The sequence below is a fragment of the Homo sapiens genome, chromosome 8 (genome assembly GCF_000001405.40).
Source record: "Homo sapiens chromosome 8, GRCh38.p14 Primary Assembly".
NCBI lineage: Eukaryota > Metazoa > Chordata > Mammalia > Primates > Hominidae > Homo > Homo sapiens.
Genome location: NC_000008.11, coordinates 32,121,712 through 32,141,009, shown reverse-complemented (window position 1 = coordinate 32,141,009; position 19,298 = coordinate 32,121,712). Strand labels below are relative to the sequence as shown.

At 38.8% G+C, this 19,298-nt stretch overlaps 1 protein-coding gene and 1 long non-coding RNA gene across 13 annotated transcripts in view; both read right to left on the bottom strand.

The window, feature by feature from the left end:
* The window catches only part of NRG1 (neuregulin 1), a 1,134,802-nt gene that overhangs the window by 633,037 nt on the left and 482,467 nt on the right, over window positions 1-19,298 (bottom strand). The gene's annotated exons all lie outside the window — the stretch shown is intronic.
* Window positions 1,533-19,298, bottom strand: part of NRG1-IT1 (NRG1 intronic transcript 1) — a 113,742-nt gene continuing 95,976 nt past the window's right edge. For all 3 annotated transcript variants that reach the window (NR_104158.1, NR_104156.1, NR_104157.1), the window contains one exon: window positions 1,533-1,795. This is a non-coding gene — a long non-coding RNA (NRG1 intronic transcript 1). The remainder of the gene's footprint in view (window positions 1,796-19,298) is intronic.

The following is a 19,298-nucleotide window of genomic DNA, read 5'->3' as shown; positions in this document are numbered from 1 at the left end:
GAGAGAGACAGAAACAGAGAGAGACACAGAGACAGAGAGAGAGAGAGTGAGCGAGAGAGAGAGAGAGAGAAGGTGCATAAACTTAAGGGCTCAAAGGTCAACAGTACAAATCAGAATGTAAGTTCTAACAAAGTGCAGAGAAAGGATAAGAGGAAATGAAATGCTCTGGAGAAGTCAATGGAGGTGGAGGTTGTCACCCTGAGTTGTGACTTAAAGTACTTGATTAGTTAGAAAAGAAGAGAGAAACCAGGTACATGGGTGGCTCATGTCTGTAATCCCTGCACTTTTGGAGGCTGAAGTGGGAAGATCACTTGAGCCCAGGAGTTCAAGACCAGCTTGGGCAGCATAGCAAGACCCAGTCTCTACAAAAAAATGAAGAAATTAGCCAGATGTGGTGGCACATGCCTGTAGTCCCAGCTACTCAGTAGGCTGAGGAAGGATGATCACTTGACCCAGGAGCTTGAGACTGCATTGAGTTGTCATTATGCCACTGCACTCCAGGATGGGCAACAGAGTGAGGTCTTTTCTCAGAAAAAAAAAAAAGAAAGAAAGAAGAAAAGCATTTCAGCAGGTGGGGAAGACAAGAGCAACAAAGAGAAACCAAGAATGACAGGAAGACAGGAAGACTATCTACCTGACTGAAAGGGAGAATTTATATTATCGAGCAGAAAAACTAAGGTTGGATAGGCAGGAAGGATTCAAATTGTCATAGGTTTTGAGTATCAGTTTAGTTTCTGCATTAAAAAAAAATGATACACCACTGCTTAATGACATTGCAGACATTAAAGAGATGTGCAAGTATGGCTGACAGAAATGCATCATCATGAAGGACTGCCCTGACCTTCAGCATTGTGGCTACAAACTCCAGCACCGTGGTATTCAAGCAATTCCTTTCTAGAGTGAGGGACTAGACATAAATGGCCATAGCTGCTGGGTCCCTAAGGCACCTCTCATCAGTTAGGTCAATGTGCCAGGCAGGGGAAGAAGCCTTACTATTCCACTGCATCTGTGGCCTTGAAACTCATAGCTCCTGAATCCTCAAGTCTCTGAGGCAATGCATTCCAGCTACAGATAAATACCTTAAGCAGTCACCTCAGGCAGGGCTAATTAGGAACCTCTTTCAGAAGCTACTTTGTATCCCCAAAGTCAGCTACATGGGTCTTATTGCCAACAATTTATCATGCATTGTCTACATGGTATAAACATGCATTCTCAACTTGCTATTTATGAATCTTACCTTTTTATTTTATTTCATTGATTTTGGAGTACAGGTTGTTTTCGGTTACGTGGGTAAGTCCTTTAGTGGTGGCTTCTGAGACTTTAGTGCATCCATCACCCAAGCATTGAATCTTACCCTTTCAAAGCTAAAGGTACACGTGTGTATACTTCTTAAAAAGCAAATGCACATGTTAATATGCCTGCTATAAGTGGCCTCTACATTTTAAATGCATGCCTCAAATATTTCTATTATTTGTCTATATGTAACAGTGATATTTCTTTTCAACACATATTACTTTTTCAGAGATCAAAGGTTCCTAATATCTCATTTTATTTTATGGTAATTTATGACTGGTCAAGTAAAACCAGGCTCCTTTTCAACTTTTGTTTCATGACTGTGCAAGGAGAAGGGATGGCTAGGCGGTTCTCGCTCCCATTCCATTCTTTGTCAGTTACCAGGTCCTTAAGCAGATCTTCTCCCCCAGGTGTTTGCCTTCTGAAGGGGAGAAATGGCGGTCAAAGGACTTTCCTCAAAGAGACAGTTGCACTTGATCTTGAATAAAGACTGAAATTTCATCTGGCAAAAAAAGGACATAGAAGAAGAAAGATTTCATACCAAGGCACTGAATTAGAGGACAAGGCTGTGATCTAGAAAACTTGACTCTGCATGTATCTGGGTACTCAGTCAAAGGCGCATGGAAGAAGATATGGTCAGAATGGTTGCTTGAGGTCAAAATATTAAGGATTATTTTATGCCATGCTAAAAACAAACAATTTAGTCATTCATTCACTCACTGTTGATTGACTGATTGATTGACTGATTGATTTCTCTTTTGAAAAAGTGCCTGCCTGAGGTTTAAGGGAGGAAATCAAAAAGCCAAAATTAGGTCTGATCATATTGCATTAAAAATTGCTGTGAGCTTGCTGGGCATGGTGGCTCATGCCTATAATCCTAGGGAGGCCGAGGTGGGTGGATCACTTGAGGTCAGGAGTTCAAAAACATTGAAAACAGCCTGGCCAATATGGTGAAACCCTGTTTCTACTAAAAAAAATACAAGAAAGTTAGCTGCGCTTGGTGGTGGGCGCCTATAAACTCAGCTACTTGGGAGGCTGAGGCAGAATAATTGCTTGAACCTGGGAAGCTGAGGTTGCAGTGAGCCAAGACTGCACCACTGCGCACTCCAGTCTGGGCGACAGAGTGAGACCCTGTCTCAAAAAAAAAGAAATCGCTGTGAGCCTCCTGCCAGTCACAGCCTAGGAGCTTGCGTGTGCTCTGAGCCAGCAGAATTGTGCATACCAATGTGTCCTGGTTACCATTTCCAGCTCTAAGAAGGGGGAATGCTGTCTTCTGATTGGCAGCATGTCTTTGACATGAAATCCTAAAACTTGTGTTTTGGGAGAAAAATGCTTTGTTTGTATTCCCCTGCTTGAAGGACCCCATGCTGAGCTTTAGATGTTTGCCTTCCTTGGGTGTTGGGCTTAAATGCAGATCCTCATAGAGAGCACAGACATTCTGTCCGCAGTGAAACAATGATATATTCTATTTATTGCACTGGTACATCGCCCCTGATGTTTAAATCCACTCACTATTGTCCTCACTGACGCTGTGTAGCTGCTGTTAGTGTTTGCCAAATCAGCAGATGTGATTGCTAAATATGTAGAGATGAGATGCAAGGAACAGGCAGTAAGAGGGCTTTAAAGGGGTTCTCTACTCTTCCTCTCTTCTCCAACAAGGACACCTAACATTCTTCCACCATATGAAAATCCTCTATTGTCTACTCCAAGACGCTTCAACATCAAAAGGATCCCAGCAGACACAGGATATATTTTAGGTGACTTGCAAATTTAAGAAAACTTAAATCTTAATACAATCTTAATACAAAGCTGCTTTTGGCAGAAGAACTACATATACAATATACACTTAGGAAAGAGTGAGAGAGGATTCACCCAGAATTGAATCAATACTGACTGGCCTGCAGCAGCGCATAGACTCTCAGAAGGGAGGAAAAACAATTTCCTGAAACCCAAATAGAGAGAAATCAACCACATCTCGAGGGATGAGGATGGCTGGCTGTGTGCATCAGGGGTTATCAAGGAAAGCGGAGGTGGAGAAGAGGAGGTATAAACCTAGAACCAGAGACTGGATTTGCACATGGCTCTCCTTTTATGTACCCAACTGTCTATAGAAGAAGCAGATCGTCAAATACTTGGAATCTCACGACACTTGACATATGCATGCAATTGTGCACACACAGAGAGAAAATATCATCTACATTAAATTGCTTTATAGAAAAATATATACTTAACTGCTCCAGATGGCTAATGTCTTTTATTTTATTTTTTTTCTTTTGAGATGGGGTCTCACTCTGTCTCCCAGGCTAGAGTACAGTGGTGCAATCTCGGCTCATTGCAACCTTGGCCTCTCGGGTTCAAGCAATTCTCCTGCCTCAACCTCCCAAGTAGCTAGGACTACAGGCATGCACCACCAGGCCTAATTTTTGTATTTTTAGTAGAGACAGGGTTTCGCCATGTTGGCCAGGCTGGTCTTGAACTCGTGACCTCAAATGATCCACCCGCCTCGGCCTCCCAAAGTGCTGGGACTACAGGCATGAGCCACCATGCCAGGCCATAATGTCTTTATATTATACAAGAAGACACTGGTGACTCAGCGGTAAAGGAGCTTCCTACAATTAAATTAAAAATTCATCATAGAAATCATGTTTTAAAAAAAACCCCCATGTTTATTGATTCACAATCGAATAAACCAGATATAGAGTATATGCCTCTGTAAAATGTAATTACCTCCTTATATACCCTGAAAGTATATAATGTATTCAGAACTAGTTTCATTAATTAAGTGTTGTTGATCGTCTGTGCTTAGCCAAGTACTATTAATATTAAGGTGTTATATAAGGCCCAATTCTTTAATATGAATTATGACATCTAAGCATAAGAATATAGACTTTGGTTGTGACAAATGATTGAGGAAAGTATTCATCATTTTAGAACCTCTTAGAAATATCTAAATATGCGGGCTTACCTATCGGCACTTTACCCCACAACGTTCAAACACTGGTCTTCCTGGATTTGCACACTCCATTAGTGGGGTGCCATTGTCAGTGAAGAAAGAAGACATATGATCATGTGTTAAGGCATTCTTATTAAATATCTAAGGCATAAACCCATCTACCTGTACCATGCTTGCATCAAACCAACTGAATATCGGTACAGAAAGATATGCCACCACAACAACAGAGCTCAAGTAGACCATCACAATGGCCTACTATCTGTGAAGAGTAGTGAAGGATCTGAGATTTTAGCCTATCCTGTTTTCAAAGTTCACCTGCCACTGTTTCATGGATGCTAGCAGGGGACATGAGACTTTGGGTCAGAGACCACGGACTTTATGACAATAGCAGTGGTTGAAGTGTTTGCATTTGTGTAGGTTCTCTGGGCCCCACTCCTCACAGGGTGATATGAAAAGGGCCAGGTGACAACAGTACCTGCAAGAGGTTTGTATTATAGGAGAGGAACCATGCGCTTAAGGAATCTGAATATTTTATAATGGGCAGTAAGCTCTGTTGATCTTTGCCTCAGTGGGAGGCATTATCTTCATTATCCTGAACAGCAACTGAACCTGCCTTTGCTCTGGAACAGGCCACTGTATCTTCCAACTCCTGAACCAAGAGAGTTAGTGACTCTGATCGTAAGATGAGCAAAAATGCAAAGGGCACCTAGAGAATGATCTCCCTACACCACCCTCATCTGCACTGTGTTTGATTCCTCACCTTCCTAAATGACTGTCAACCTTCTCTTTTTCAAAACATCTCAACAATCACTCCCGCATGGCTGTTTGGTTTTCTTCTACTTTGCTTTTGATCCTTTAGAGTTTCTTTTGATTTCTTTTTTATGCTCACCTGTAAATGTAAGAGTACCCCTGGGCTCTGTCCTTCTCTTTCATATCTATAAGTACTATTTAGGTGATTTCATATAGACCCTTAGCTCTAAATACTAGCTGTGTGTTACAGGCTCACAAAATTGCATCCATGTCCTAATTTCTCCCATGAACCAAAAACTTGTCCAACAAATTGCCCACTTGAAATTTCTTCTCAGATACTCAGAAGATATCTCAAAAAAATGTAAACATGGCTAAAAAATAACAAGTAATCTTGCCTCCTGATACTCCCCTTCTCTCAATCTCACCCATCTTAGTAAATGCCAGCCTCTACTTAGTTGCTCAGGTTGGAACCTTTGGAATTATCCTTTAATTCTGTATTTCCTTTGTGCCCACCCTGCTAAGCCAGTTCTTTAACAAATCTTGCCTCCTCTACCTCCAAAACAAGCTCAGAAACTCCTATGCATCTTCACTACCACCACTACCCTCCAACAGTCACCAACACTTCCCACAAGGACTCCTATAATAATCTTCTAACTCATCTCCCAACTAGTTTCCATCCTTGTCCCATGCAATTCATTTTCCATACACAGTTAGGTAGTCTTTTAAAAATTTAAGTCAAGTCACATTATTCCTCAGCATAGTCTTCTCCAATGTATTCTGCTATATTTAGAATTAAACATAAACACCTTAGCCTGGCTATAAAGCTCCCATGATCTGGCCTTGGTTCTCTCTTCACCCTCATCTTATACCAGCCTTCTTCCTACCTTTTCTTCTCCAGCCTGTGGTCTGTTCAAGAAACAGAAGGAGGTTCATGCTGACTTTAGCATCACCATGTTAGGTATTTGCCATCTGTGAAATCTGCACACCCTACTCCTTGATTTTTGCATGGCTTTTCTTTCTGTCATTCAGATCTCACTTTAAGTGTTATTTTATTCATGAATACCTGATCTAAAATAGCTATCTAGTTATTCTCAGGTCAAATCTTTCTACTTTTTGTTTGTTTGTTTCTTTAGAGACAGGGTCTCACTCTATCACCCAGGCTGGAGTGCAGTGGAGTGATCATAGCTCACTGTATCCTGGAACTCCTGGGCTCAAGCTATCCTCCCACCTTAGCCTCTAAAAGGCACTAGGATTACAGCCATGAGCCACTGTGCCTGGCCTCATTCTAGTTTAATGATCTGAGTAATACTTATTAATATCTGGTATATCTTGCATGTGTGAACTTAATTTCTCATGAATGTGAGCTCCTTGAGAACTAGGGCCCCTTGTATGTATCTCATTCACTTTGGTATCTCCACCATTTAAATAGTACTTGGCATGATAAATATTTTTTAAATAAATGAATGAAAAACTAACTGAATGCCTTAATAACGTCTGTAAGAATTGGCAGGAATAGGGGTTCCTTGGAGAATAAAAGAGATAATTAAAACAATAGGATTCTTTTTATTATCTTCTGGTACAGTCTAATTGATGCATGTACATGAAAGGTATCTGGCCATCTGGAGGCCTTTATTTTGAAGACGAACTACTTCAAATTATATTTTTTGTCTATAGGGAAATTTTTAAGCCACTTCCAGGTAAATATAGTTTCTAAGCATCCTATCTACTTAATAAGCAATTATACTTAAAATTAAACATTACAGAAATAATGTATAGGCGTGACTTTGCTGCCTTAAATTAACTGCTTCATTCATATATTTAAAAAAAATTTTAGTGTCTTCTATATGTAGAGTCTTCATGCTGTAGAGACTGAAATTTTGACAGTGAGCAGGGCAGAAAAGGGAGTCCTTTCTTCATAGACCTTACAAGTAACAAAATGTAAGATGCAGAACCAACCACCTATAAGCTGGGCACCACTGCTTGGCAGAGTGTAAAATTCTTTTATCTGGACTTTTGTTTTTAAGTTAATAAAGTTACAGACATTAGCTAATATATGTTTTCCAAAAAAAAGTGGCTGAAAAATAATCACTTAAATTATCCTGTGGCCCATAAAAGTATTTTCAACCTGTGCTTTAACCCATTTTTGAATAATCTATGAACAGGCCTAAGAAATCACTACTTTTTAATTTGAAGATATCTAGTCTACCAATTTACTGCCTTGAGAAAAACTTTTAATAGCCTGCTGCCTCCACTTCTTAATCAGAAAAACATATTAGCAAAACAAACATTTCATTCTCAAACCAACAGGAGATGATATAATAGATGTAAAATCCATGGGCCTTTTCATAAATCTAGTTTTCGTATGAAGCATTAATAATGAGTGATAAAATAAAAAATGATTATCTCCTAAATTAGGTCATGAATGTCTATTATTATCCCTTTAGGAAAGAATGAAAATATTTCTTGGAAGAAACAATACTAAGGTATCCAAACCAATAGCTATTTGAATTGCATAAATGAAATGCTATCTCAGCTCCTGAGTGAGTATCAGTTGAACCACATGGGTTCCTGTCATTTTCTTTCTTGTAACATCTTGTATGGCCCTGATTAAATGTAACTGGGAAAAATAACCTTGAAATTGGCTGTGGTGGGAGTATTTGCATCACAGAATTTGGCAAAAACTAGAATTCAGGGACTTCTCCATACCCACTTTTTCTAAACATCCCCTACCCACCCTGCCTCACCCTCTAGGAGCTGATTGTTACACCAGCACACCACTGATTCTAACACACAAATGCGTATATGAATTCTTTTTCCTGCCATTATAAAAACATGTGCATAGAACTGGGAGCCCTGGGGTAATGATGTTGGAGAAGCTTCAGACAGCTCTGAATTTGACAGGTGTTCTGAAATAAAATCCAGCTTGTGAAATCACACACCATCAATGAAACTTCCTAGCTTTTAGAACAGTCTCTTCATAGGAAGAAAGAGAGAGAGAGTGGGGGGAAAGGGGGGAGGAGTGGGAAGGAAAGAAGAAAGGAAGAAAGGAAGGAAGGAAGGAAGACTGGCCAATTTCTTCCCCAAAAGTGTCTATTTCTCATTTATATACCGCAGAATCTGACAGTATTATAAGCCTGTAAAACTTCCTTAGCTGCAAAGATGGATGATTAAACTGCTTTTTCGTTAATTAAAATAAAAAGAGAGTTTTAAGTGAAAACAGGAAGCGAATTCTCTATTTGAAAGTGCACTGGTGCATAGATTTAAACATCATATTCTGTAAAGACAGCCCATTGTGCTAATGGCAAAGCAGTAAACACTATATTATCTCAGATGTGTTCTTCCATGCATTCACACACAAACACAACTATTTATCACAAACAGCCACTTTCTTACACCCCTTAGCCAGAGAATCAAGACAGGACTTAGCAAATAGGAAAGAAAAAGCCAAGCTAAATATTTATTAGTATTTTAAAGTTACAGCGCCCCTTTAGTCGAGGGCCAAGTAGATCTGTCACTGGGTATTTCCTCTGCCTCTTGCCTGGGCTACAGAACATTCTGTTCTCTGGCTTGCTGCATTCACATTTATATAAACGTACAAGTTTCATATGTCAATCTCACACCTTTTTGGAAATTAGTATGGTGTAGAGCAAAGAGCTTATCCTTAAGAAAAGGGCTGTTCAAATGTTGTGCTAAAATGTTGCTTATTTCAGTCTTTTTATGACATCAGAATGTCAGGCACTTAATCTAAAACTTGCTTTTCTCCTTCAGGAAGAAGTCATAATTCGTACCTCACAAGGTTAGCTTGGAGACAACACACATGAAAGAGGCATGCACAATTCCTAATAAGCCTCCCATTGTAGTCCCTTACCTCTCTCTTGCCATATCATTATTGCTTCTCAAACATGAGTAAGCAATCCTTGACCTGTTATGACAAAAACATAGTGGCTTCAGCCCAATTGCCAAAACTGTCCAAATAGCCAAAAAGAGGAATTTAATTTGAATCTTATACACATAGGAAAAAAACCTCTGCCTTTAAATATATCTTTTAGTGCCCTTTAATCATTGTTTTTGTTTGTCTGTCTGTTTCTAGCTTAGGGAAAAAAATCCAGGAATCTTTTTAATAAGAGGGCTGCAGATACAAGTTTAGAGTTTACAGTTCCTGATTAGTGGCTATGTCAATACTAATGCACAAAGAAGGAAATGATTATCATTGTGTACTACTCCTATCACACAGGATACTCATTAGGTGCCTTATCAACATTTAAGTGTCTTATCAACAATCCTCCAATATCCATGGGAGTAAGACAATAGCAATAATAACCACAAAGGCATTAATATACATGGCACACACCTTTAATTTACTTTCATGCCCTTTTCTGTGGGATCACACATTAGTGTACCTACCCTTAGAAGAAGTGAAAATATAATTAGCCACAGGTTTGTACACTCATCAACATGGATATTGATGTAATTAGGCAGAGACATTTGGTAGAACTGAAGATCCTATTCTGAAGCTCCTTTCTATTTGTCACACTTGAGTGATAACTGGGTATTAGATTTTCATGGATTCTCTACTCAACATGAAGATGAAAAATATAACTCTCTGCCCTGCAGTTTAAAGAAGGTAAAGTGGGAGGATAGGTGCTTTAGTATGAGCAGAACATGCAATGACAAAACTACAGTCTACTTCATTTTAGTCTGAATTTCCAGTTGTTTTAGGATTTCTATATTATTCCTCACTTACATATTCCTCTGAAAATGAGAGCATAACTGCATTTTCATAAGCATGTTTTATTTTTCAAGGTATTAATATTTCATAACTGGGAACCATGCCCAGCAAATACACTTAGTAAGTCCCCACAGCTTTATTAAGGTAGACATTTTTGATAACAAATGTATCTGGAAATTAAGGTATTGTTAGTACCTTGTATAGAATTCAGCTAATTAATTTGCTAATTAACCTTCCTCTTTGTTATTTATAGTTTTAGCAACTCTGCCTTTTGCCATATGGTGGTATGCTTCTACATACATGTGTGCCCAAGATAGTTGGTGTTAAAGGGCTCTAATTTAGACTTTAAAAATATGAATGCAAGCTGCAAACTGCCTTGAAGCAATGTAATGACCTGAAACTCATCCTTTTTCAACCCTGCCTTCTTTCCCTCAAAGTCTTCTGCACTCCTAAAGCTAAAAGTATATTCAGCCACAAATATTTAGGAAAATTAGGGAAGGGATAAGGCTGGTATTTGGCTAAATGAATCTGAAACTCTAAGTAAGAAAGCCCAAAGGGATGGCATTTGAAAAGTGCCTTGGTTAATAACCTGTAATCTCCTTTGTCTGAGATAGACATTCACATCCTCTAAAATGTCTATTTCAGCACAGTTAGCTCGCAGTATAGATTCCTACGCCCACCAATCTGAAAGATAATTTATGCCTGGTTCCTTGCAGGGATTGTTTTAAGAACTCTAGGCTTGAAACAAGGCAAACATGGACTTTTTGGGTAATGCCTGGAATTAAATCCTGACCTCAGTATTACCACCAATTCCAATGAACATTAGTAAGTAGTTTCCCAAATGCACCATTTTCAAAGTTATTAATAATAATAAAAATAAATCTCTATCTCAGTCCCTTTTACCCAATGTTAGTTGGTAAAAATATACTTTATCTGAGAATTTTGTGAAATTCTCTGCTTCATTTTAGCACTGCTGAATGCTAGAAATTAGGACATAATTTAGCAATCATTTGCTTTTTTTCATGTAGCTTTGCTTTTCATAATATGAGGCTTAGGGAAAAGACCTAATGTGTACATGAATCATTTGGAAGGAAAAGACATCAATGGACAAATGACAGGCCTGAAGAAAAGGAGAGTGATAACGAAAGGAATGTCTAACCACAGAGATCTCCTTAATTTGGAAATCTGAATAAACGATGACGTTAAACTGCCGTCTTTCAATGGCAACTAAAAACTACTACTAACCTCAGAGTTCTTACATTTTTTAAATGATAGAAGCTTATAGTTTATTTGGTGATGGATTATCATAATTTAGTGTTTTAAAAGCTAGCAAAGCAGTAATTTCTTGTCATCCAAGAAATTTACATATGAAAAAGGCAGATGTCTTTAAAGTGCTTTAGACAAACGACACAATATTTTCTATTTGGGATAAATAGCCTTTGGGGTTTTTGCACAACATAATTAATGCATGTGTACATATGTATATATACACAGATGCATGCATATATATTATACACATGCCTTATTTAAGCAAGCACGTTGATTAGATCGACACAGCTTTTTATCGTGATCTGGGGAAGCTTTTTCCACCCATAATTTATATTAATTAGTAATTAGTTAATTGGTTTAGCAATCTGTTATTGACCTGTATCCTCCTCCAAAAGATATGTTAAAGTCCTAACCTCCAGTATCTGTGAATGTAGCGTTATTTGGAAATAGAGTCTTTGCAGATGTAATCAAGTTAAGATGAGGCCATTAGGATAGGCTCTAATCCAATGTGATTGGTTTCCTTATAAGAGGAAAATGCCATGTGCAAAGAGAGACATGCAGGAGGAATGCTATATGACAACAAAGGCAGAGATTAGAGTGATGTAGCAGCAAGCCACAGCATGCAAAGGACTGATCGCCACCAAAGAAGCAAGGGAAGATTCTGTGTAGAATCTGAGAGGAAGCACAGCCCTGACAACACCTTGATTTCAGACCCCCACCCTCTAGAAGTACGACAGGATAAATTTCTGTTGTTCTAAGGCACCACGCTAGCGTTAGTTATAGGAGCCCTAGGAAATGAATATGCCATCTAATTGGTCATTCAACAAATATTTCTTGAGCTCTTTTTATGAACCTGAGATTGTGCTAGCTGCCAGAGTTACAACACTGAGTTATACAGATTATGACTGTGCTCTTATGGAGGAAAAACAATAGGATAAAACATGGTCCAGAGGCAGAACCGACTATTGTGGGAGCATAAATCAGAGGCTGCTAATAGAGGGCCATGGAAGCATTCCCACTGTAAGTGACTTTGTGCTGAAATTTGGAGGATGAGTAGGAGTTAGCCTAGAAAGGAATGGGGGAAGCTTGTTTCAGACAGAGAAAACCACATGGCCAAGCTCTGAAAAGCAAAAGAGAAGGCTTGAACATTCAATGAACTTTTATCCTATCAGAAGAAAGATACCAATGGTCAGAGATGAAAGGCACAGATTGAGAAGGCTTTGACAGTTTCTTAAGGAATTGTGATTTTTATTCTGTGAGAGGGAGAAGATATTTAGGATTTTTTTTAAAAAAGAGGTTGATATGATCAGATTTCCATTGAGAAAAAACACGCTGGCTGCAGTGTGGAAAATGGATTGGAAAGTGAGAAAGACTAAACATGGGCAGCCTGCACCTTGGGAAAGCTGATAGAATTCAACAAGCATTCTGCTATAGATTTGCCCATTGTTTCAATTCTCAAGGACTTTCACATGTAATTTTACGTGAAACTTCCACCAAACTGAAGAGGAAAGTAGACCAGAGATGACTCTCCAGTTTACCTAGTCAAGAACTGTGACACAACAAAATAAAGCAAATTGCCAGGAATCACACAGCTGGTTGACAATGAAACTGGAACTGCAAACGTGTCCTGTTAACTTCCTGCCATGTGTGCACTCCATTATATAGGAATGCACATTGCCCTCTAATTAAAATTTTACTGCCATCAGGGGGAAGGCATCACTGCATAAAGCCAGGATAATGCACTGGAAAGCTCAATCTCCAACAGCTGGAGTAGAGGGCCTGCTGGGACTCTTCTTTTTCTCCGCAAGCACACATGTGCACAGCTCCACCAAGTGGAAGAAAACACCTCATGTTAGTTCCCAGGTTCAGGGAGGAAGAAACCTCATTCTCTTCAGCCAAAAATGTTGCAGCCAAAAATGTTCAGCCAAATATGTTGCAGAGCAGGGATTGGAGAATAATAATAATCTTATTGTGTCATTACATTTGACTAGATTAGGTAAAATATATGTACTTTATTAGATGAGCCATCCAGAATTGCTGGGGGAGGAGAAGAGGAGAAGGATGTTTTTGTTTTGTTTTTAAGAAATGGGGTCTAACTATGTTGCTCAGGCTAGAGTACAGTGGCTAGTTATGTGTTACCATGGCACACTACAGCCTTAAACTCTGGGCTCAAGCGATCCTTTTACCTCAGCTTCCCGAGTAGCTGGAATGGCGAGGGTATGTTCTTAAACCATGAATCACCATCCCACTGATAATGTTGTTAGCTCTAGATGTGGCCACTAAGCAGCAAAAGAGTGTCTTCCTGATTTCAACCTAATCAGAATTCACGTATTTGTGCACAAATGGGAAGATTAGGAGCTACAGGAGCCTTCATCCTCTGCTAAGAAAGACTCTATTGATAATGCAGTCTTCCCTCTATGGAAGACCAAGATCTCCTCATTTTTTTTGAATTTCTAAACACACACACACACACACACACACACACACGTGCAGATACACACACATTCCACCCAACAGAGTAGGGTTCAAAAATGGATTAAGGACCAACAATTTATGAAAGGGGCTAAACTATTTGTGAGTATTTTCTTTCCTCCTCAGGTTCATGGTGTGATAAGCAAGGTCTGTAGCCAACCTTCTCTTGGAAGGTCTTTTGCAAGACCACGTAGCTTTACTGCTGTGGCCACAGTATAGGAAGGTATAGAGGGCTCAGATTAGGCTAACACTGCTGTAAGCCCTTTGTTTCCATGGTTTTTGGTGCAGTTTAAGAGGTAAAATCCACAAGGCCAAGTTCAGAATGTTAGCCTAGGAAGAAAGTTCTAAAACAGGTTAGCCACTTGTCCTACATCCTAGGCTTTCAGCTAAAGAGTCAAAGGAAACATAAATAGAGCTTATATGGTCTTGTCCTGCTCTCTGGGATAGGAAACTACATACATACAGATTGGAGACTGAACCCAACTACATTAATACAAAATGGAGACCAAACCCAACTAGTCATAAACTTTTCATTGAACTGAAGTGTCTCCACTGGGCATTTCTTCTTGGTGATCTAACAGGAGATGACTGTGGAGGATTTGAAGATATGAGACATAGTCCATATCTTCCTTAGAGCTCTTCCCCCCATGTCAGTTGAGAAGCTCTTCTACAGCTGTTTGTTAATTAAGGAGAAGCAGTGGAAGCTGGCAATGCACAGCTAAGACTCTGGGATGTTGGAAATACACTAATTTGTATTTGGCAGAGAGAAAATTGAAAAGCTAAACATCTTACTGAAAACAACAATCAGTGTGATGGAAAATCAGGCTCCTTCTCCAAGTCTTCAGCTTCAAGAATCAGTGCCACCATGGGCTGGGTCATTGTTTGCATTAATGAAAGGCTTTAGATGAGCTTATGTCACCACTTGGATAGAGACAGCCAGGGCAAGTCTCACCTATACAGGACACACTGGCTTATTAGGGCATCCCTGGGGAAGAGCTTTTTGTGGAAAGTACTGGCATTTGGATGAGAAGAGAGCTCTAAACCCCAACAGCTGTGACAATGAATGATCCCTTGGTACTCTTTGGGAGGTGAGGAGAGACATTAACCTTGTACTGCAGCCAAATTTCATTTTATTGTATCCTTGTTTCTTAAATCTGTGCTCTCTGCCCCAAACAAGAGCAATTGGACATTATATACTATTTGCTTTCCAGCCCCTAAAGTCAAGACATTGTTGTTGCCCAATAGCATCTTAAGGTAGATTAAGTGGTTACACATTCTATCATACTATGTCAACAGGGTGAGGTGGTGGGAAGTGGGGTACTAATTCATTAATAGCCATTATCTTTTGCGATACCCAGAGCAATGGTATTAAATCTACAAAACCTCTTGAGTTCGTTTCTCAGCATTTTCTTTATTCACTCAATAAATTGTTGTGGAGTAACTGGAAAGACACAAAGATGAATACTGCATGGCCCCTGTCTTGGAGTCTGCAGTCCAGTGAAGGCATGCATGTGAAGAATTAGAAAGGGCCATACTAGAAGTATATCCAGGTCATGATGGAAGCATAGAGAAAAGAGGGATCACATCTTCCCAACAAACAGTGAACTCCACATGCAAACTGAATAGAATCCCCTACTCAATAAATCACAAAATATTTATGGAGCCCCAAAATCATATTGTGACAAGGTTTTTCAAAAAAATGTAGAAACTAAGTTATGATACAATCACATGTCAGGAAGATATGTTGGAGAGGAGAGAGCAGAGAAATAGTTGTAAAAAGGAGATCTTTCTTATCAAAAGACTTGGGGAAATGATGTGTGCAGGCAGAAACAAGAGGTAGTGATGGAGTGGGTGGGAAAGTCCTCCATCAAGGAAGCAATTGAATAAGAATCAACAAACAGGTAAACAAGATAGGTAGAAGCAGAGAGGCTGGATTGGATCAGATTATCAGGCTGTTTAATGTCAGACTAAGGAGTTTAGAATTGATTTTTCGTGGTAGATTGTTGCAGATTTTTGAGTAGGATAGTGATATTGACTCTGGACAGCAGCTGGATTAAATAACTTTTATGATCTATGCATAATTAATCAGCAGATTACAGAAGTGATTCCTAAAGACTGAGATTTGAAGCAGCAATGACTCAGGGAAAGATAACTCAGCAATTAAAGTCTACAGAGATAAAAGCCAAGTAAGCATAATAGTAAAGACGGCTTGAGAATCAAATCGACCTGTTATGTGACCTCTGCCAAGTGATGAAAACTGTAAATTTTTCTGTCTGGCTTCATGTTGCTATAACACAATACCATAGACTGGGTAACTACAAATAATATACATTTACTTCTCACAGTTCTGAGACTAAGAAGTCAAAGATCAAGGCACCAGCACATTTGGTGTCTGGTGAGGGCCTTCTTGCTGTGTTCTCACATGGTAGAAGGTGCAAATGCTATGTCCTCACATGTTGGAAGATAGAAAGGCAAAAAGGGCCTAAGTTAGTTTTCTCCAGCCCCTTCATAAGGCCCTAATCCACTCATGAAGGCTGGCCACTCAAAAAGGCCCTGCCTCTTAATACTGCAAAATGGGGATTTAGTTTCAACATAATTTTGGAGGGGGCATATTCAGCCCATAGTAGTGTCTATTTTCCCATGTGTATAATGAGGTTAATAATAGAGCTGATGTCATAGGTTATTAAGAGAATTAACTGAGGCAATGCAGGTAAAGCACTTTGCTTGTCCAGCCCACTGTGAACACTCAAGAAATACTAGTTACTTTTGTTGTGATAACTTTTGTTGCCTTTGAAACACTGAGGAAGGGTTTGGAGAAGTTTACTGGAAAGGAAAAGCTAATAGGATGGGGGACATTGAAAATAGGGGCAAAAATTCACGTTATAGATACAGTGAATGGCCTGGTACATCAAAATGACATAGGGAGCACAAGGGGGTGTCAGTGGAGTCCTGGACAAGTAGTACTCCAATATACCTTCCTGACATGTGATTGTATCATAACTTAGTTTCTACATTTTTTTTTGAAAAATCTTGTCACAATATGATTTCGGGGCTCCATAAATATTTAGTGATTTATTGATTAGGGGATTCTATTCACTTTGCATGGTGAGTTCACTGTTTGTTGGGAAGATTTGATCCCTCTTTGTCCTCAGTGAAGTCCTCAGACTTCAACCGAGTGTCAGGCTTGGAGAATCTTCTATGAGAGAATCAAGTATACTGGATGCTCACCAAGAAGTAGCAATTAATTGCATGGAAATATTAGAACATTGTTCTTGGCTCTGAGGATTTGATTCGTCATTGTTCGAACTTGGTGCATGGCTAAAGAATGCTTTGAAAGGAGGAAAAGTAATGAAGGAATAAAATGGAAGAGCTTTGAAGTTAAAGTATTAGCAGGTTCCCTGGCTTCCACTAAATTAGGTTGTCACATGTCATTTATGCAAAATTTCATTATATCCAAGTTTTTATTATGGAAGGTTTCTGAAATAAAGGGAAAAGAGAGAAAACGAATTTAAATGATACAACTTCTCTTCATAAATAATTTCCTTTTTTTAGTTTTAGGATGGTTCACAGGTTATTTTATTGAGAACAAAAGAAATAAATTTCCACTACTTTATTTTGCCAGCCAATAGTCAAACTTCCCCCTTGAGTTCAACTCTGAGAAGGTAGTAATTCACTTGTCTCTTTAACAGCATGGCTGTGAATAACTATAAGAATCCAGAATTAGTGGGAATGAATTTTCTTTAGCTAGTAGCATACTAGCAAAGAGACCAAAAAGAATAAAATTTTGACGGAGGGCACATTTCCTAAAGAAACACTGACTTAATAAGTTATAAATTAACTTAAAAATATAATTTTTAGAATAAATTATAAGACAGAATGAAAAATTACATAATATATATATTATGATATATAAATGCACAATGAATATTTTTATATTATTATATATAAGTATATAATAAATAATATTGAAATATGTTAAGATGCAGGATAACTGTTATAGTCTGTTCTCACGCTGCTAATGAAGACATACCCAAGACTGGGTAATTTATAAAGGAAAGAGGTTTAATTGACTCACAGTTCTACATGGCTGGGGAGGCCTCAAATTCATGGCAGAAGGCAAATGAGGAGCAAAGTCACATCTTACATGGTGGCAGGCAAGAGAGAACTTGTGTAGGGGAACTCCCCTTTATAAAATCATCAGATCTCATGAGACTTACTATCATGAGAACAGCAGGGGAAAGACCTGCTCCCATGATTCAATTACTTCCCATTGGGTCCCTCCCATGACAAATGGGAATTATGAGAGCTACAGTTCAAGATGAGATTTGGGAGGGGGCCACAGCCAACCCCTATCAATAACTATACAAGGACACATGGTGAAGTAGAGAAAAGCTTATACCTACACATGGAATCACTGTGAATCTGATCATTACAAATGTACACTGATCCAGGTGCATTCTCATGGGGACTTCAATACCATAAACAGCATTGTGGTCTCTAGCTGATTTTCTAAAGTGAAAAATAACTCTTAAAAAAGTTCTTCATTTTTTACGGCTGCATAGTATTCCATGGTGTATATGTGCCACATTTCCTTATGTCCTTTGTAGGGACATGGATGAAAATGGAAATCATCATTCTCAGTAAACTATCGCAAAGACAAAAAACCAAACACCGTGTGTTCTCACTCACAGGTGGGAATTGAACAATGAGAACACATGGACACAGGAAGGGGAACATCACACTCTGGGGACTGTTGTGGGGTGGGGGGAGCGGGGAGGGATAGCATTGGGAGATATACCTAATGCTAAATGACGAGTTAATGGGTGCAGCACACCAGCATGGCACATGTATACATATGTAAGTAACCTGCACATTGTGCACATGTACCCTAAAACTTAAAGTATAATAATAATAATAATAATAATAAAAAGTTCTTAACCAAATCAAACAACAATCTTCTGTCAATATGTACAGCAATTTCACACACCCTTGGAAAATTCAGTGTATTAAAACCATGAAAATTTTGTGCATGTTTATCTGTAAATGGAGTTATAATTGAGTTCAATCATTACGAATAGGATTTTCACCCATGTGAATATATTGGGGAGACTATATAGTCATGAGGGATACCAAAAAGAAAAAGAAACAGGAAATCCTAACTCTGCCATCTAAATAGCTATTATAGTACCTCTTAACATTGTGACTACCAAAAACCCACCACAAATTCCCAAAGACCCCCTTTTGGGAGCTGTCCCACCCCTACTGAGAACCAGTAGCTTAGAGCAAGAGAGCAGACAATGTGCTTTGAGTTGCCATCTGGTATTTGGCCTGTTGTTTATTTCCCCCCATAACTATTTATATTTGTTTTTGTGAAATTAAGAAAAGCTTTTGAAATTTATTTCCACATGCTGAGTTGAAGAGTACTAAGAAGAACTCTTAAAACACAGCTCACCTATTTAGAATCAACTTCCCCAAATCTTTGGTCAGTCTTACCCATTGGATATTCTGTTTTTAAAAGAAAAAGACAAATCAATAAAATATACTTTAATAAAGGAAATAAGTAGCAAGAAACTTCCCTGGCCTATAGAGGAACAAAGTTTTTCATGATTTTAATGCACCTTGAATTGTTTTGAATGTAAATGAAGATTTTTGCTAAGTTCCCTTTTCTCTGTCTATATTTTTATTTGGACAAAATTAAATATTTAGAATGATAATGTCAAAACACTCTATGGCAGGAATTCTTAACCTGGGGTCTATTGCTGGGGCCTCAAATGTGGGCTGCAAGGATCTATAAATTTATGCAGAATTCTCTCTCTTTCTCTCTCTGATTTC